At 34.6% G+C, this 21298-nt stretch overlaps 2 long non-coding RNA genes across 4 annotated transcripts in view; one reads left to right on the top strand and one right to left on the bottom strand.

Annotated features, from left to right (window-relative positions):
- Positions 1-1291: 1291 nt before the first annotated feature.
- On the bottom strand, positions 1292-6492 carry LINC02475 (long intergenic non-protein coding RNA 2475). 2 transcript variants are annotated; one of them, NR_131959.1, is made up of 2 exons: positions 6291-6492; positions 1292-3602 (listed from the first exon to the last, which is right to left on the bottom strand). It is a non-coding gene; the product is annotated as a long intergenic non-protein coding RNA 2475 (long non-coding RNA). The 2 variants fall into 2 exon arrangements; NR_131958.1 differs by having other exon boundaries at positions 5983-6291.
- The window catches only part of LOC105374438 (uncharacterized), a 37090-nt gene continuing 22069 nt past the window's right edge, over positions 6278-21298 (top strand). Inside the window, exons 1-2 of one of the 2 annotated variants that reach the window (NR_188377.1) lie at positions 6278-6745; positions 7267-7424. This is a non-coding gene — a long non-coding RNA (uncharacterized LOC105374438). Of the gene's footprint in view, positions 7425-21298 lie in introns of both variants that reach the window. The other variant, NR_188376.1, reaches the window with a different exon arrangement.

Here is a 21298-nt window from a genome sequence, read left to right as displayed (position 1 = left end):
CTCTCTTTTTATTCTTAACTGTAGACACTTTGAATTGGCTTTCACAAAGTGAAAGCAATGAGTCAAATCTAAGTCCTCTCTGTCCATGAGTCTCAAATCTGTACCCATCTTTATGGATTGGCCTAGTTTACCCTTAGATTGGACAGTCTCTGAAGAAATAAAACAATATGTGCTTCTATTTAAGTTTTGGTAGGTGGGTAAAAACAGAGGATATAGTTGGTGACATTCAAAAATCTAAAATGGACTGCAAGCAAGGTGAGTAGAGCTTATTAGTAATATTTCAAAGCCGACAGTATAAGCAATACACATATACCTATGGGAGGGGAGCAAGGCCTCATTTACTAAAGTGCCATAAAGAAAAGGATAGAGAAACAAAGAAAATGCTTGTAATTTAACTCAGTCCCATCTGCTCACCAAGCAGAGCAGGAGGAGGAGGAGGAGGAGGAGGAGAAGAAAGAGTGTAAGGAGAATGAGGAGGAGAAAGAAATAAGGAAAAAGGAGGAAGAGGAGACAAAGGAGAGAAAAAGGAAGAGGATGAAGGGGGATTGAGAAATCAGTGGTGTTCAGATTTATAAATTTCATTATAATCTATGTCGGAATTGCTATGTGCTTTATCATCTATAGGCTGATGACTTCCACATTTGATCTTCAGTTGAAATCCTTTACTGAATTCTAGACTGAAATATTCAGCTCTTATTCTACATCTCCTGTGGCATGTCTAATTGGCATCTCAGACTTAGCCATCTAAAATGGGACCCTGCAAATTTTCTCTCCAAACTTTGCAAACATAGTCAATGAAGGATGCGAGTTGTGGGTTCCCCCCACCACCCAGATGTCAAAACAATAGAAAATGAATTATTGTGTTGACTAGAACAGATAATGCATGACTTGTATACTTTATTTCCCTTCCCTTTCCTCTTTTTTCTCCTTCTTTTTACTATTTTTATGTTTCATGGAGATCTATTGACCTATATGTGTAATCTTTAAAAATATCAAGTAATACCAGTGAAATGGAAAGTACCTGAGGTCAAGAATTAGGTAGAATTTGTTTACTACTGTATTTCTAATACTTAAAATAGTGACAGAGTGCTCAATCAACAGTTAATGAAAGTTGAATTTCAGTTAAACCCACTTATTTTATAAACCTTTTCACAAATTGCATTCTATTGCCATTGGGATATCTGTTGGATGAGGACTGGATAAATAAATATGTAGAATTTTCTCAGCATGTCTACAATATGACATGTTTTCACTGAAAACATTTAAAATTCAAAGTCGTGTTATGAATATAGATTTTTACATATTTTAATTAATGTGCATTACTGTCAACTTCTTCATTAAAACATTATCCAAAATTGCATCAATGTATTATCTGAGAGACAACATAGTATAAGAAATAAGTGGAAAGGCATTTTACAGTTTTTAAAGAAAAGAATACTGACAGTTTATCTTTTTTTAATGTATTGTAAAGTCACTCGTGGAGTAAAAGTGAATAGGAATTCAGTTGTTTATCACTTAAAAAAAAAGACAGAAAAGTATTTCAAACATCTGTGGCCCTGGTGACTGGGGAACTAAGTTCATAAAAATCTGTAGCAAAACTGGTAAAAGGGAAAGTTGCAGGGGGTAAACCCCCTGGGTGAGTGATACTCTTAGAGCAAGCATCATTTGGGATATTATTTCTGTCTTGGGTTCCAGAAAAACCATTGAGGATTCTTGTGTACAGCATAGAGGTCAGAGAATAGATTGGAACACCAATGGAGAGCTGGGCCCTGTGAATTCTCCTATGATTGAAAATTATTTTATTTTGGGGCAAATTTGAGCAACAAGTAAATTCCGGTTTCAGAGCATCAGTTCATTCTCAAATTGATTTACATCTGAAAGTAATTTTTGCCAAATCTAATGTGTCATTGTCACTTAGACTGTCCACAGAAGGCTTTTTATGGTACTCAGGGAGAGTAGAAACATTAGTTGATGCTTGAAAATTAAGATGAAAATTTCTTATGATCTTTGAACAAGTGAAAAATGATGAAAAATGTTAACTTTATGTTATGATGATTTAATAATTCTGTCTCTGTTTTCATTAGCTTTTATTTGTACCGAAGTTTACATGCAAGTGAAGAATTATCAAACAGTTACATAGCTTATTAACCAAACTAGCAATTTTGCCTCCCCATTCACACCAATAATTTCCAGAGGCAATCATTGATCAATTCATGTAGGACTTGCACTTTTCCTTCTTGAACTTTCGGTTTCAGGGCTTATTAAATTCCCTCTATGGAATGTGAAAGAGAGCTTAGCTTGCTTTTACTGGAACTATTCACCATTAATGGTATATCTCTTATATCTGCATTCTTTTAAAACAGCTAAATAATAATTTTGATCATATGAACTTCGACTACTTACATAACTATTATTATGTTAAAGCTAGTGTCTATCTATAATAACAAAATATTTTTTTTTCTAATAACTGTATGTTAGCCCTGACATTAATTTTTTTGATTTTATTGTATTTTTAAAATATTTATCTCAAGGAGACACATGCCTTTGCATGTTCATCACAGCCCTATTTGTAGTAGCAAAGGCATAGAATAAACCCAGGTGTCCATCAACAGTGGATTAAATAAAACAAATGTGGTACATATACACCATGGAATACTATGCAGCCCTAAAAAAGAACAAAATTATTTTCTTTGCAGCAAAATGGATGAAGTTGAGGGCTATTATCCTAAGCAAATTAATGCAGGAATAGAAAAGCAAATAGTGGCTGGGCGTGGTGGCTCAAGCCTGTAATCCCAGCCGTTTGGGAGGCCAAGGTGAGTGGATCGCTTGAGATCAGGAATTTGAAACCAGCCTGGCCAACAGGGTGCAACCCTATCTCTATTAAAATACAAAAATTAGTCAGGCATGGTAGTAGGTGCCTGTAATCTCAGCTACTGGGGAGGCCGAGGCAAGAGAATCGCTTGAACACAGGAAGCGTAGGTTGCAGTGAGCCAAGATCGGGCTAGAGAGTGAAACTATGTCTCAACAAATAAACAAATAATTAAATAGGCAAATACGCATGTTCTCACAAGTGGGAGCTAAACATTGTATACTCATGGACATAAAGATGGCAACAGTAGAAACTGGGGACCACCAGGAGAGAGACAGGAGAAGGGTTAAAAACTAACTACTGGATACCATGCTCAGTACCTGGATGATGGGATCATTTGTAACACAAACCTCAGCATCACCCAGTATACCCAGGCACCAAACCTGCACATGTACCCTTGAATCTAAAATAAAAGTTGAAAAAAAATGCTTATCACTAATTCATTCATAAACTGTCTTCCAATTGTTTATGTTTCCTGTGAATACAATCAAAAGCGTCAGGCATTCTATCAATATTATGTTCTCTGTTGATTGCCTCTGCACTGTGCCAGTTTAGATTGGTTGTTGTCCAAGACTGCTGTACAGAATTTACTGTTATTTCCCATCATCATGAATGAGGGAACTTTCCTGAACTTTCTCTGCAGTTCAGATCATCTGCTTCCTGGATCTCAGGTCTTCTTCTTTATTGGATTATGGTAATTTTTTCTTCTTTGAGCATCTCTTCCAATAGCTTCCTGAGAAAATGTGCAAGAGAGAAAATGTTGTAAGGTTTGAAAATGTCCCTACTCCACCCTCACATTTAATTGAAAACATGGCTAGGTATAGAATTCTAGATTCCTCACAAAATTAAAAGGCATTTAAACAATTTTTATCCTACCTTTGGTGTCATTTTTAATAAATCCAATGTCTTTCTTATTATGTATCCCCTCAATAATACCGGTTTACTTTTTATTTTGTTTTTCATTCTTTTAGGAAGCATATAATTTTCACAGTATTCTGAAATTTGAGGATAATATGCCTTGAGATGGATATATTTTCATTCACATTGTGTTGGGTGCTTTAAGAGAATTTTCCATCTGGAATGCTTTTAGGATGATGTCTTGAAATATTTGATGATTTTTTATTTTCCATCTTATACCTCTCATATTTTGTTGCTTCACTTGTTTTTTTATTTTTGATATTTAAAAATATATGTATTTGTATAATTTATTTCCTTGATGTGGGTGAGGGTATGTATTTATTTGTTTGACGTGGGTGTATGTGTGAGAGGCCATGTACATGCATACATACCTTTCAAATATCTCTTACTGGTTTCCTGATGATTCCTTTCTTCCATTCTTTTGGATAATTTTTTTATATATATATATTCATTTTAGAAAATTAACAATACAGAATGTTTTACCATAAAAAGTCATTACTTCTTCACTTCTCCCACATGTATCCAGTCTTCAACTCTCAAAATAGGTGATTTTATAAATTCTGCAGAGATTTTTATACAAATTAAAATGCATGTTTCTCCTTTTATACACAGAAGGGAGACTGCTTTCTTGCTTTTTGCACTTAATGAAATTTGCATGTCTTTTTTGGTGTCAGTACATAGGAAATTTCTTTTTTATATACAATCATTTACTTAATGAGTCCTCTCTTCATGAACACTTGATTAACTCTCATCTCTTGTTCTGAAAATAATATTGCAATAAATAACCCTGCTTTTAAGCTGTTTAATGCATGGGCAAATATGCTGTAGGAAAATTCTCAATAGTGCAATTTCTAGGTCAAATGTTATATACATTTGCAATTTTGAGAGATAGTTCCAAAGCTGCATACCATATTAAGCTTTTGATTTTGTCAATTTAAGAGGCAGAAAAATAATGACATCTAGGCATATCTTTAATAAACAAAATTTCTCTTATGATGAATGAAAACTATTTTATATCGAGAAATTTTTGTATCATATTCTATGTTTCTTGATTATTCTACAAATTGTTCATGTCTTTCACCAAATTTTATTTTCTATTTAGTTATTAATCAGTGTTTAGTTTTTTAAAAATATGCATTGGGTAAATTAATTTTTGTTCATGATGTCGTTTACATTTTTTCCTATTTGTCCTTTGTCTTCTGATTTTATTTATGGTATTTTTATTTCCTTATGCAATTAAAAAACTTTATGTATTCATACTTAATGCATATTTTATGAGTTTTGAATTTTGTGTCATAAAGTGGTCTTCTTCACCACTGCTATGAAATATTTTTCTATTTCATTGCTTTTATAAGTCTACTTTTACATTGAAATATTTATTTGCTTGGAGTTTATCTGCTATTAGCTGTAACTTATGAATTCAACTTCTTATATTTTCTAACTTATGAATCTAATTTTCTTATATTACTCAGATGTCCCCACATCATTCATTTCATCTTTTCTAAAATCATTATGAATGTTAGTTTATTTCTTAAACAAACATCAATCAAATTTCTTTTTAGATCCACCATCTCTCCTATTTCCAGAAATATCTGACTTCTTGAATTCTGAGCAATTTGCAGGTTTTGAGTTATATATTATGTTCCTTTGATTTTTTTCTAATTTTCCCAAAACTGGCCTAGGATTTAAGTTTCTGTCAACCACTAAGAAATTTTCCTTTTTTTCTAGATTTAAAATGTTATTGCTATTGTTCTTTTCTTTGTGTTAGTGGGTTTATAATTTAAAAAATATCTTCACTGCATTTTAGGGGAGCTTTGGGAACAGATGAAGAAAAATGCACATGTAAAAAAATCTCTTTACATAGCTAGGTTTCATCTTCATATTAATATACAGTCATGTATCACTTGACAGTGGGGATACATTCTGAGAAATGCACAGCTAGGTGATTTCATTGTTGTACCAACATCAAGGAGTGTACTTACACAAACCTAGATGGTATACCCTACTGCACCTTCTATATGGCAGAGCCTATTGCTACTTAGCTACAAGTCTGTACAGCACGTTACCGTGCTGAATCCTATAGGCAATTTTAACACGTAATATTTGTGTATTTAAATAAATTTAAATATAGAAAAGGCACAGTAGAAATACACTATACAAGATGTAAAAATGGTATACCTGTATAAGGTACTTACTGTGAATGGAGCTTCCAGGACTGGATGTTGCTCTGAGTGAGTCGGTGAGTGAGTGAGTGAGTGGCGAGGGAATGTGGAGGTCTAGGATATTACTGTATACTACTGTAGACTGTATAAACACAGTTAGGCTATACTAAATTAAAAAAATGTTTTCAATAAGTTATACTTAGCTCACTGTAACTCTTTTTACTTTATAAACTTTCATATTTTGTCTTAACTTTCTGACTCTTTTGTAATAACCCTTAGCTAAAAGTGAGGCAGGAGAATAGGGTCTTGAGGCAGGGAACCTAAGGCCGATTCGTACTTACTGAATATCAGAAGCTACTCCCTTTTCAACCCCTCCTTTTTCTGCGTGGCAGTTGCTGCGTGGCAGTTGCAACCCCTCCTTTTTCTGCGTGGCAGTTGCAACCCCTCCTTTTTCTGTGTGGCAGTTGCTGCATGGCAGTTGCAGTCCCTCCTTCTTCTGTGTGGCAGTTGCTGCGTGGCAGTTGCAACCCCTCGTTTTTCTGCGTGGCAGTTGCTGCGTGGCAGTTGCAACCCCTCCTTTTTCTGCGTGGCAGTTGCTGCGTGGCAGTTGCAACCCCTCCTTTTTCTGTGTGGCAGTTGCAACGCCTCCTTTTTCGGCGTGTCAGTTGCTATGTGGCAGTTGCAACCCCTCCTTTTTCTGTGTGGCAGTTGAAAATGAAAGTACCTCCAACCGGTTCCCTCCTGCAACCAATCAGACTGATTTGCGCAGAATGAACCAGTGGGAAACCTATAGAGGGTATTTAAACCCCAGAAAATTCTGTAATCAATGCTCTTGAGCTGCTTGCTCAAGGCCTTTCCTTCCCTATGGAGTGTACTTTGTTTAAATCCCTGCCTTCACTGCCTTGCTTTGTTTGTGTGTTTTGTTCAATTCTCTGTTAAAAACGCCAAGAACCTGGACAACTACCCTAAACAGGCAACAAAAGCACAAAGACGTTGTACACAAAAATATTTTCCTTCTGTATATCTTTATTCTAGAAGTTTTTTTCTATTTATTTATTTATTTTTTATTTTGATTGTTTTTTGCCGTTAACATTTTTTTGTTAAAAAGTAAGACCAAAACACACTTGTTAGCCTGGGCCTACACAGGGTCATTAAGACATCACTAAGCAACAGGAATTTTTTCAGATCCATTATAATCTTATGGGACCACAGTGTATATGCGGTCTGTTGTTGACCAAAATATTGTTGTGTGACACATTAATGGGGTGAGGATATTATTCTCTATTATTATCTTATGTAATTTTTAAATGCCATCAGATAAAACACAGAAGGGAGCACAGAGCTGCCTGGTCCTGCAGCTCTCCTGGAGTGAGGTGGTGCTGCTAACCACTGGAAGCTGAAGTCCAGAGGCTCTATTCAGTCAAGGGGTGATGAACTCTCTTTGGGTCTGGAGACAGGCTGGAACTGGGATGAGAGTAAGTAAAGAAAGTCAAGTGAGTAGAAAACATTGGGTGAAGACAGAGAGTAGATTCACTGCTGTAAAGAACTACCTGAGACTGGGTAATTTTTAAAGAAAATATGTTTAATTGACTCACAGTTCTGCATGGCTGGGAAGTCCTCAGGAAACTTACAATCATGGTGGAAGGAGAAGCAAGCACCTCCTTCACAAGGTGGCAGGAGAGGCAAGGGGAAAGCGGGGGAAAGCACCACACATTTATCAAACAGCCAGATCTCCTGAGAGCTCTATCATGAGAATAACAAGGGAGAAGTCTTGCCCCCAGGACTCAGTCACCTCCCACCGGGTCACTCCCCCAGCACATTGGAATTACAATTCAATATGAGATTTGGGTGGGGACGTAGAGCCAAACCATATCAGAGCAGATAAAGAGAGGTTGATGAATGGGTACCAATATGCATTAGGTGGAAGGAATAAGTCCTGGTGTTAGATAGAGCAGTAGGGTGACTATAGTTAACATTTCAAAATAGCCAGAAGAGCAAAATTCAAGTGTTCCTAACATCAATAAAATATAGATATTTAAGGTGTTGGATATTCCATTTACCTTCATTTGATTATATGAGTGTATCAAATCACATGTACCCTGAAAATATGTATATATATTACAGATCAATTTAAAATAATTTTAAAGAGATATCATTTAAAAAAAAGAAAAGGTTTGGTGAAATTTTAGCAGCTATCCTGAGGGGGAACATGCAAGGACCAGATTAGTGTTTATGAATAAACTCTGTAAGTTTGTAATATAAAGGTGTCTATATGATGTTGCCAGGATTACCTTCCTAATTAATCAATAGGGATAGTCTTTATATTTCTTCAAGATACTCGGAGTCACATTTGGTTTTCTTCTGTTTTTGTTTTGGAGACAGGCTCTTGCTCTGTTGCCCAGGCTGGGGTGCAGTGGCATGACCATAGTTCACCACAACCTTCACTTTCTGGGCTCACGCAGCCCTCCCATCTCAGCCTCTGAAGTAGCTGGGACTATGATATTGTGCCACCATGCCCAGCTATTTTTTTGTGTTTTTTGTAGAGATGGGGTTTTGCCATGTTGCCCAGGCTGTGTTCAACTTTTGGACTCAAGCTATCCACCTCCCTTGGCCTCCCAAAGTACAGGGATTCCAGGTGTGATCCACCATGCCCAGGCCCACATCTGTTTTTTGCATGTGACTTTGTTGAGCTGGACCATGTGTTATTCTGTTTTCTAGTTAAGAAATTCATTTGTTTATAATAGCTTTGATAGTTCCAAAATAATTCTAGAATATACATTAGAAATTAATATAAATTTACATGCTATATCTGCAAAGACAGAGTAAAATTTAAAACAAATAATAAGTAGGTGGAAACAAGATCTAGCTTACATTGTAAAATCTCTTTTTGAGGAAAGCTTGATCCACACTGAAATTCTAATTTACAGGTGTATTAATCTGTTCTCACGCTGCTAATAAAGACATACCCAAGACTGGGTAATTTATAAAGGAAAGAGGTTTAATGGACTCACACTTCCACATGGCTGAGGAGGCCTCATAATCATGGTGGAAGGCAAAGGAGAAGCAAAGGCACATCTTACATGGCAGCAGGCAAGAGGGCTTGTGCAGGGGAACTGCCATTTATAAAACCATCAGATCTTGTGAGACTTATTCACTATCATGAAAACAGTATGGGGGAAATTGTCCCCATGTTTCAGTTATCTCCAATTGGCCCCACTCTTGATACATGGGGATTATTACAACTCAAGATGAGATTTGGGTGGGGACACAACAAAACCATATCAACAGGTGTAGGAAGACTGATGCTCTTGAAAATCTTATGGTGAAGGGAAATAAGCAGACATATTTCTGAAGAATGTAAAAGGAGTTCATGGATACTGTTTTACTTTCCTGCCTATTGCTGCTATAATAACTTACCAGAAATATTGTGGCTTTGAACAATACAGGTTTACTACCTTACAGTTCTGGAGGTCAGAAGTTCTAAAATCAAGTTGACAACAGAACTGCAGGCTTCAGAAAGACTGTTTCCTTGCCTTTCTCAGCCTCTATAGGCCCCATCCTCAGTTTGTGGCCCCATCCTCAGTTTTCTACCTACCATGAATACATAAAAGATTAAACAACTACTTTAGCCTAGGGAATAGAAGTATGCATTTTATATGAGTTCAGGTTAAAAACTCCTGTTCCATTTCATTCAGTCAGTCATTTTCTATTTTCTCTCTCTCTTTTTTTTTTTTTTTTGGCTTGTTAACAAAATCATTAAATCAAAACAAGCAAGAAGGGGAAAAATATGCCAGGCAAGGGAAATGGCTTGAGAACAGATGACTCTGTGGAAGAAATGAGCAATGTCTTAGTCTTGTTGGGCTACTATTACAGAATACTACAGGCTAGGTAATTTGTAAACAATAGAAATTTGTTTATCACAGTTCTGAAGGTTGGGAAGTTCAAGATGAAGAGAGTGTCAAGTTTAGTGTCTGATGAAGGCTTAATCTCTGCTTCCAAATGGTGCACCATCTGGAGAAGATGAATGCCTTATCCTCATATGGCGGAATGGGCAGAAAGGCAAAAGGGCAAAAAGGGCCTACCTCATTCTCTCCAGCCCTTTTATAAGGGACAGATCCCATTCATGAGGGCAGAGCCTTCATGGCCTGCTCACCTTCTAAAGGCTCCGCCTCTTACAACTGTTGCATTGGGGATTAAATTTTAATATAAATTTTAGAGAAAACACAACATCAAACCATTTCAGGCTGTATGTGGTTGTCTGGGTTGTATGTGTGTTGTATGGGTTGTATATGTGTGTGGGTTGTATATGTGTAGTGCTGTATATGTGTCTGTTGTGCTTTAGGGATGTACTTGGTAGAGATTTACAGAGTGTTATGATCTAGGAATGTAGCATTCTGACTATTTGGCTCTGTAGAAAGAAAATTGTACCAATTTTTTGGCAGGATTATTATTTTTTGTATTATTTTTGATTTATGTACCTTGTTGTAACAACATTGGAAATATGTCAAGCAAATTCCCTCCTCTGGAAGTAAATTACAAAAAAAGTAAACAAATGAGAAAGTTTCTAAAATAACTCTTAATGAAAGCATTAAATCAGGCATTACCAAGAAAGCTTGAGTAGGATTTGTTGATTCAATTTGATAAAAATAGGACTTGTAATTTTATATATAGTCTAACGTGATGTATGAGGGGTTTAGAACTGAGTATGAATGGTTTAGAAATAATAATTAATCTTATAACAATCAATCACAAGGTGCTTATTGACTAGAGTACCTTCATTTACAAAGTTATTGCAACACTTCATCATTTAGGATGGGTAAGAGCTTTTATCGTGCTATGATTTGGCAAATATATGAGTGTAGATGGTTTGATAAGATAACAACAAACCATCTTGGTGGATCAGAAATCTTGCTTTTAAAATCAATATAGAATGCCTTTAATTAAATTCAATGAAAACTCAGTTATTGAATTAGTTTTAAGAGGTTTGTTCCAATGCTTCTAGAGAAGTAGACAACAGTAGAATATTTACATTCCCTCCTTTACAATAATAGTTTGTTTTATTGGGACTATTTGCCTTATGTTTATGGAACATGATGCATAAATACAGACCTTATATTTTAGGTGACAGAAACTGATTTCTAGCTATGTGAGTTTATAACAAAGTAGAGAAAGGGGAAGTCAGAAAACACATTTGATCTAACCTTGAACACCTACATGCAGAAAACCTGGGGCATCTCACTCCTTAGTTTTAGTCCTTGTTTATACTGCAAACAGCCAAATAAATACAGACATTTTTCTTTGCACTATTTTCCCAGAATAGAGATAACTTATAAATTATTTATGAGTCATTATATAAAGGTTTCATAACTAAAACTGATCAAACTAAAAAGTTTCCAGAGTAAGGCAGATGTAAAATTTACTCTGTCACAATAACCAATAATATTATGATACTTTTGGCATTTACTTGTTTATTCAGGTATGATACTTTATATTGCATTTAAAATTGCAATAAGTGTAAGCAGTTAATGAATCTATAGTTGCTGTCCCTGGAATATTTTTTATAGGGATGGTAAAAGTTGTGGGTGTTAACTTAGTTTGTTTGTTACATAAAGCTGTGTAAAACGTACTGTCATTGAGAGAGACTCTGTCTCAAAAAAAAAAAAAACATACTGTCATTGATACAATATTTATTTCTTATTTTATTTTACTCTCCAGTAAATGGGACATTGTTGTCATCAGTTTATCTAAGAATCTGTATCATTATATTTCTCTTTGCATTGTATTGTATTTTTTCTCCCCGATTTTTACTCTTTACTACTATTTTCTCTCTCCATAGCGCCCACTCTCATATGATATACGTATACATCAAATATAAGGTCTTAAATGTGTGCATCCTTATAAAACATAAATTTCTTCATGCTATTTTCTGTTTTTTTCTACCATTTCAGTTAATTTAAGAATATTGGTCTACTCATTTTCACTTCTTCAAATTTAGCATTTTACAATGATTCCAATAATCCTTTCATCTATGATTCAAAATTCACTGATATGTAATATTAATATATAGTTCATAATATACTTAATCTTAATTGTCTGAATTATATTCTTATTTTAGTTTTACTTCATTTTCATCTTCTCACTTCTTATATTTGATTCTTTTCCAGAGAATAAGATTTTCTGTAGTTGATATTTTCAAAGATTTGCCTTTTTGGCTTCTTTAAAAATGTATATTTAATTAATTTCTGTTTATTTTTATTATTTCCTTCCTTTACTCTTCTGGCTTTCTTTTTTGCACTTTTCTTGTCTTCTCGACTTAAATATTCATTTGTGTTCAGTTATTTTGTTATTTCTTCAAAAAAAGGTACAAATATATTTTTAAATATTTTCAGCTCTATTCCATGCATTTAGGTTTGAGTATTTTCATTATAATACATTTCTATTTTATAATTATCCTCCTGATTTATTATTTAATACAGAGTTTATTGATTAGTTTTCAAAGTATGTAGTTTTTTTCTAGTTATTCTTTTCGATTTTAAGTTTATTTGGAATACGAGTTCTGTGTTGTTTTAAAATGTTAAAGTTTATTAAGTTTATTAAGACTAATATCAATTTTTACTAATGCTCCATGTGTACTGGTAATCAAGTGTAAAATGTACATACATACACACACATAAAGTATATGCATGCAATGAGGACATTAATTGTGATATTAAATCTAGAATAATTTTATTTAATATTTTTTCTGCATATTTCAGCTTCTGACAAAAATGCAATTTTAAAATCTAAATAAAAATGTTGATTTACCTATTTCTCTCTTTGGTCCTGTAAGTTGTTGCTTTATTTATTGTTTGAAGTTCTATTTGCATATAAACATAACCCAACATTTATTTGCATATAATTATGATGACATTCCATTAAGATTTATATTTTATTATTATATAATATTTTTATACTCTGTAATGTTTTGCCTTAAATTTTATTTGAAAATATGTAAACATTGTACCAACATTGTCTTGTGACTCATAATTGCCTTGGGTGTATTTTTCTGTTTTTTTATTTTCACCCCTTTTCACCATTATATATTTCTTTTATAGTACATGTTACTGGGTCTGTTTTAAAAGCTTTCTTTTAATCTGTGAATCTATTTTTTGATAAGAGAGTCTAACCCACTTATATATACATAAAATGCAAATACCATTATATTGGGGTATTTCCTCTGTCTATTTGTTATTTCCCATACTTTAAAATATATTTTTCATATCTATCCTGTCTTTCATTAATTAAAGCTAATACTGTCCAATCAATTTGCGTGTGTGTGTGTGATTATCTCTGACACTTACTCCTGAATTTCCTGAAATTATCAAAACTTGACCTTCAGACAAAACAAATGTTTTAGAATATTCTACTTTTTTGTGTGCGTGCTAGTGGAAGAAAGCTAGATGATTAGTACTTTCATTCATACATTTATTTTAATTGTAATTTCAGTTTAACATCTTATGTTATCCTCAACCAATTAAGTGAAAAGAAAATAGAAACCTGTACAAAATGTTAAAGGTCTTGCCTAGGAAATCCATAATCTTCTCGACATAGCAATGGATAGAGAAAAAAGCACAGGAAGTTCAACATCATCTACTTCTGTCCTGAGTGGGGAGATTTCTGTGAAAAATAGTGAAATCATGTTCTCATCACTCCTGTATCCAGCATTGATTTATTTTATACAACATGAGTCTTCATAAGTATTAGAACAACTTGTATAATGCTAATATATATTATAAATGTAGAATAAAATTATTAGCAATTAGACTACCAAGATAATCTGTTTATTAAAATTAACAAAGGGTATCTCTAAGTTGTTGTAAAAGGTCTATAATGGTAGTGATTTATTATCTTGATTAACATAGAAATCCACTGGCCTGCTCTTTTTAAACAAACAAAGAATAAACATTTATCTAGTGTTCTTTCATTTATTGCTTTGTAGTTCATCAATTATATTTATTTTATTTATTTAATTCTGTCTGACTAGCATTACATTCCTTCTCTTGTCTTCCTTCCTCCTTCATTTGGGAGCTGCTCCTTTTTTTAAAATTCAAACTGCTCCAGTGGAAATGGAAACATTAAATAATCTACTCTTTGGCCATAGGTCACTGGCACTGAGGGGGCTAGTTATCAAGAACCAATTATTATTCTTTTCTGGGGTTGTAAAATTGGGAGCTGGGACCAAAAACTAAATCATCTGATGGCAGAAAGCATGGGATATGACGTTCTTAGAGTGTCTGTGCCTATTTTTCCCATTATGTGGAAAAACTCTTAGTCCGTTTGGGTTGTTATAACAAAATATTATAAACTACCCAGAAATTTATTCCTAACAGTTTCAGAGAAGTCTAAGATCAAGGAAATGGCAGATTCTGTGTCTGGTGAGAGGCTATTTCTTGGTTCACAGGAAGGTGCCTTTTCAATGTGTCCTCACATGGTAGAAGACGCTTGTTAACTCTCTGGGATTTCTTAAGAATCCCATTCATGGGCTGGGCGCCAGGGCTCACGCCTGTGATCCCAGCACTTTTGAAGGCCCAGGCAGGTGCATCACTTGAGGTCAGGAGTTTGAGACCATCCTGGCCAACATGGTGAAACCCTGTCTCTACTAAAAAAAAAATACAAAAATTAGCCAGGTGTTGTGTCACGCACCTGTAGTCCTGGCTATTCTGGAGGTTGAGGCAGGAGAATCGCTTGAATCACTTTGAACCTAGGAGACAGAGGTTGCAGTGGGCCAAGATCATGCCACTGCACTTCAGCCAGGAAGACAGAGTGAGACTCTGTGAAAAAAAAAAAAAAAAAAAAAGAATCCCGTTTATAGAGTCTTGCCTCTCATGACCTAATCACCTCCCAAGTAACATCCTGATATCACCTTGGCAAGGTAGGATTTCAACAATGAATTTTGAACACAAATATTCAGACCATAGCAAACCCTGTGGAGAAACAAAATTGACAGGCTTTAAAGATACAGATACAAGGAGGGGGAGAGGAAGTGGGAGAGACAGACAAAGATAGAGGCTGTCTTGTCTTCCCAACACTCTAGTTATTCCCAAAACTCAGTAGTTTCTCTGCCTTTGTGTGTTTCTCCTTCTCAGACTCTGTAATGCAAAACAGTCTCCTTATTTTCTAAACTAGATTGAAGTTAGTTTCCATCACTTGCAATCAACACTCTCCTGGCTAATATATGCTTAAACTTTATGCAGCCAAAATTTCAAGCATCTAATCATATGATATTTAATAAAGGTAACAGATGGTTACTGTTAAGGAGAAACAGAAAATAGACTGAGTGATAGCAAAACTAAGTTGTTGACATCTACTTCATACAAATGATTACCAATGTAGAGATCCAAAATAAATCTCACAAGGGGGGTAGAAAAATAAAAAGAAACAGATGCAGTTTCAAATAGATTAACGTGCATGCAAATATACCGTACTTCTGTGCGTGTGTGTGTGTGTGGTGTTTAAGTGGTTAATAATCTTCTAAACAATAATTGTTAATAATTCAGATTCTCATCTAGAATCATGAATCCAATTCTAGCTTTCCATTTGCTCTGCAAGAAACTTAGGTATGTTGCAGAACTTATCTGTGCCTCATCACCTTTAACTACTAAATGATAGCTATATGAACACTTTTCTAAATAAGCTGTGAGATTAAATGATAGACAGACAGTCAGACAGGCAGACAGACAGACAGATAGGTAGATAGATAGATAAATAGACAGATAATAGATAAGATTGATGATAGGTAAATAGAGATAAAAATAAATTAGAATAATACTTGGAAAGAGAAAGTGCTGCTCAATTTTATTTATGACTTTCATTAACTGCTTAATGCTGACTTCTGTATACTTTTCTCCTCAACAGAAGCTATATGAGTATAGAATAATTCCCATGTCTTCTCCTAAAGCACACTTTAAAGACCCCATAAATAATTCTTTCCTGAGCCACACCCTAGCACCACCATCTAAAGTGAACGTCTTTCACTAAATAGCAAAACAACATTGGCATTTATCAAAAAAATCCATTTTCTGTGTGTGTGGGTATGGTGTGCCATTTTTATTTATTTTAAAAAATTTTGTTGATAGTCTCCCTAAGTCTGTTTTTAAAAAATTTTAGTTGGCAAGTAATAATTTTACAGTTGACACTTGAACAATATAGGAATTAGGGGCACCAATCTTCTACATAGTCAAAAACCTGCATGTAACTTTTTTTTTTTTTTTTTTTTTTTTTTTTTTTAAAGAGGCAGACTCTTGCTCTATTGCTCAGGCCTGAGTGCAGTGGAGGTCATGGCTCACTGCAGTTTTGAACTCCAAAACTCAAGTAATCCTCCCACCTCAGCTTCATTCCAAGTAGCTAGGAATACAAGCATGTGCCAATACCCCTGGCTAATTCTTTTTTTATTTTTTGTGAAGACTGGGGTCTTGCTATATTGCCCAGATTTCTTTTGAACTCCTGGCCTCAAGTGATCCTCCCTCCTCAAGCTCCCAAAGTGCTGGGATTACAGGTGTGAGCCACTGAGCCCAACTAAAATCTGCAAATAACCTTGACTCCCCTTTTAACTATGAGTAGCCTGCTATTTACCAGAAGCTCGACTGATAACATGAACAATTGATTAACATATATTTTATATATATGTATATAACATACAGCATATATACTTACGTATGTACATACATATATAAATACATTATACATAATATACTGTATTTTCATAACAAAATAAGAGAGAGGAAATATGTTATTAAACAATTATAAGAAAGAGAAAGTATATTTGCTATTCATTAAATGGAAGTGGATCATCATAAAGGTCTTCATTCTCATAGTCTTCAGACTGAATAGGCTCAGGAGGAGAAGGAAGAGGAATGGTTGATCTTGCTGTCTCTAGGCTGGCAGAGGCAGAAGAAAATCCATGTATAAGTGGACCCATGCAGTTCAGATCTATGTTGCTCAAAGGGCAATTATACATATTTGTGGGATACAATGTGATATTTTGATATATGCATACATTGCCAAATGATTAAACTAATATTATTAATTTGATTTTTGACTTAGGTTTTTGTTATGAACTTTTTCTGTATCTGCACAGCAGTAACTTGTGTCTTGCATGACTTATCCTTATAAAACATAATGGGTTTTATATATATTTAGTTTATATATACATATATATGCATATATAGAGATAGAGCTATCTTCTATAATCTTTTCTCTAAGATTACAGGGGATAGAGGATACCTGTTTATGTTGCAAAATATAATGTCCTGGGAAAATAAAAGATATTTAATAGGTGGTATATAATATTTAAACAGGCTAGTGCTAGTAATTATATTTCTTAAACCAAATTCACTGTAAGGAGTAGAGATACAGAATCGCTTAATATATGCCATTTTTGAATGCTTTAAACTTAATTTTATGACACAATTTTTAGAAGCTCATTTTAGTTTTAGGACATTCATTTTGTATTGATATAAATTGTTGTATATTACTTTCTATTATTCCCAATGTAAGAACAGGAAAAGATTTAAACTCTACCACCATATGAAATTTCATTAATTTTAGAGGATTTGAAATAGGTTTTCAGTGTATGTATGTATGTGCATATGAATATGTATACCTAAAATATAACTTCATGTCATTCATATACACATTTAAATATTAAGGACATGTATTTTTGTGAGCTCATTTTACAAAGTTTAACATAAATATGGCTAAATTTTAAAAAGCATTAATTAAATTGATTTTTAATATGAGAATATAAAAACTAACCAAGGAAGAGGGAACAAGGTAAAATTATTTCAGAGTATTTGAGGAAAGAAATGGGAAGCAGAATCAAGGGAAATTCAGCAAATCTGTGACAAAATGTGTCAGGATTAATGTTACAATGTTTGGATAAGGAGTTTATGAAGTCAAAAATTACAGCTTTAGTTACCAGGATACTGAGTGAGCTGATTTATGTCATTCTCAATTTAAGATTTACAATGAGTTTTGAATAAGAAAATATGTGACTAGGGACAATGTCATAAAAGAACTGAGCAGATCAGATCGGTGCCTAATGGGTTTAGCCATGAAGCCCATTTGAGAGATGAAGTCTATTTTTAGCCCAGTGCAATATGCACATCTTATTTCTTCATATTCTCAAAATAAAAGATTCAAAGACCTTTGATACTCTCCTTACACATAAGTAGTTTTCAAGTCTTCTACACACTGTCAGTTTCTTTAATATTTCAAAACTATTTTTACAATATATATTCTGATTATTTCAGCTTGAAATGATATTAGTACATAAGAGAAGAACTGCAAAATTTTTCTTTTCCTAGTAAGACCATATATTCTTCAGTGAATTTGAAAATATTTTTAATTCAGAATATTCTTATGTAGTCAGATCTGATTTTAATTTTTCCAATGTACTTGACATGTCTGCAACTCCCCATGTGATACAACAGTATCTAAAGACCTGAATTTAAATACTGCCTGTCCACTTTATCTACAGACTAGGATGAAAGATAATTGATATGTGTGGAGCAATAAAAATAAGCCCCAATACTCAATTATATATTTGTTGCTGCTGTGCCATAAAGTCCAAACTATCTCATGTTTATGCATTTTAAATTCTACTTGCAGGAAAAAGTGCTTCTAATAACTCTGCCTTCACAGTAAAATTAGGCTTTAGAAACATGATTTCAATATGTAGTTACTTCTGATTTTACATAAAAAGATGAACTTTCTGTATCCTAGGCTTAATATTTCCTGAGAAAAAAGTATTTAAAAGACTGTGTTTCTCAGCAACATTGAAGAAAAAAACACTTCCAACAGTCCTAGAATATTTTCATAGGAATTTTTAGTTCTTTTTTATTATTAAATAAAAAATCAACATGGGCTTTGATGTATTTAAATTTTAACTGGTGAAAATACTAAGATGGTTAGGAGAAACACAGAAGTAAAAATGACTGAAAGGGAAAGAGAGAGAGGACATTATACATAACATCAGGGTATCTTAGATCTAACTCTCCTTCTAGGATATTAATTTTTAATTAGAGATATGAAGCAGAGGAGTGCTACAGAGGGAAAGAAGGTACTGTTTTTTTTTTTCTTTTTTTTTTTTTGATGGAGTCTCACTTTGTTGTCCAGGCTGTAGTGCAGTGTCGCAATCTCAGCTCACTGCAACCTCCCCCTCCCGGGTTGAAACGATTCTTCTGCCTCAGCCTCCCAAGTAGCTAGGACTACAGGCACATGCCACCATGCCCAGCTAATTTTTGTATTTTTAGTAGAGATGGGGTTTTACCATATTGGCCAGGCTGGTCTCGAACTCCCGACCTCGTGATCCACCCTCCTCGGCCTCTTAAAGTACTGAGATTACAGGCGTGAGCTACCGCGCCTGGCCAGTAGGTACTTTTAATTTGTACATCCCTAACAGCCACTACTGAAATCTCAAAATACATTACTGTCAGCCTACCTGCAGCATACAAAGATGCATGATTAACTATGTTTATTTCGGTATGTTTTGAAACACAAAATATATATTTTCCTGTGAAAATATAAGAATGACATTATAATGTTAAAAGTAACAAGTTTCTAAACAAGGCCACACAGTTTTATTTAATCTGTATATAGTTCAACTATAAGACTAAATAATATTGTACAGTCTGGCTAAGACTTATAAAATTAAGTCTATGGGGAGTGTTTTCAAGTTCTAATCTGATGTTTGAGAAACATATCTTCTCTGATTTGGCAGTGATACTTCTAGTTTTCAGTGGATGATCTACAGGTTTGTATGTTTAAGGTGATTTAAAGTCAAAGTAAGTATTAATCGATCAGCTCAAAGGCAACTCATTACGTCCCCTCCTGCTATCTCGTTTCTTATCAAGATAATGATACTTTCAGTTGGCATCACTGTATACCAGTAAACCAAATCCATAGTTACAGATGAAGAGACAAAGTTAGAGTGATTCAGTGATTTTCCTAGGATGACACAGCAAGTATAGTAAATCTGAAATCAGAGCCAGCTACATAATCTGTGAGGTCCTATGGAAAATGAAAATGTGAGATCCCTTGTTCACAAATCAATTAAAAAGATTTCTCCCTTCTTCCACATTCTCTCTCTTCGGCAATCATGGTGGTTTTAATTTGCTATTTAGTGACATGTTCCTTTGGGCATGAGGATACTCATGGAGTTAATGTCAGCCCTTAAAAGATGAAAGATACAGGGAGTCCTGCCTTCAATGCTGCATAAGGCCTGTGTTCAACCCCAACCCTCCCTGTGCCTGTGCCTAGACTCCCACCATAAGGAAAGGGTGGCAGCAATTGGTAGGTGGGGGTAGCAGAGCAGGTGACAGAGAACTCATCCAGGAGAGGTGGGAAGGTGGACTGGGGGTGGGAGACAGGATGTGTTGAAACAGGCTACAAGCCCCCAGTGCACGCATGCTCCATTGCCCTATCAGACTTCGCTTCCAAAACAAATTTAAAAATAAAATTAGTAAGAATTTCAAGACAACCACTGCTGAACATTAAATTCCAGGTTTGGGCCTCTTTCGGTCCCTGAGAAAGTTATATGCACTTGAAGCTGGTCCTACCCAGGACACTAAACCAGGTGATTTTATTTCAGAATTTTATGTCTTCCTTTGTATTAACTCCCTCTCTACGTTGAAGCTTATTTGTAGAGTGACCTTAAAAGTGTAAAATTTTTATGGAAAGGGTCTGAGATTTGAGGTCCTAGGACAGAGAAGCCCGGACAAATGGCTCATAGATTTTGGCTTTTGAATTTACTGCAACGGTATGCCCTGCATACCAAGGTCCACGTACTTTGCATTCCTGCCATCAGCAGCAGTTGACTCTCCTTAGCAGAACAGCTCCTCTACGCTTGATATCATGCAACTCACTAGGTACAACATGTACAATCCACTTGGGACTTCTTGACAATTAGTTCCTGAAAGTGTCAGAAGTAGAAGCTAGCTTTTAGTTTCATGTTTGATATCTTTCTTCTTTCACCATGAAGACCTTGCCTCAGCTGACTTTGATCATTGAGCTTTGGCTGGTTCATGATAACATTCTAGATCCACCAAGGGCCCCGTCAATGTTGCAGCTTTTATATTTCCGTATACGATGGGACTTGGATGCAAATGTTTGTATCTGTGATGGGATTTAGGAGCAAATTGGGAAAGGAAATATGAAAAGGGAATACTATTCATATCAATCTTAATAAATAAATCAATTATACTTTCTCAAAAAGATTATTGACGCAGTTTATATTGCTATGTTGTTTCATCAGTTAGTATTCAAATTCTTAAAGATTTTTAAGAAATTGAGCTTTGTTCTATAAATATAA

The sequence above is a fragment of the Homo sapiens genome, chromosome 4 (genome assembly GCF_000001405.40).
Source record: "Homo sapiens chromosome 4, GRCh38.p14 Primary Assembly".
Classification (NCBI taxonomy): domain Eukaryota; kingdom Metazoa; phylum Chordata; class Mammalia; order Primates; family Hominidae; genus Homo; species Homo sapiens.
The sequence above is the reverse complement of the archived record's forward strand: the minus strand, read 5'-3'. Positions and strand labels throughout refer to the sequence as shown.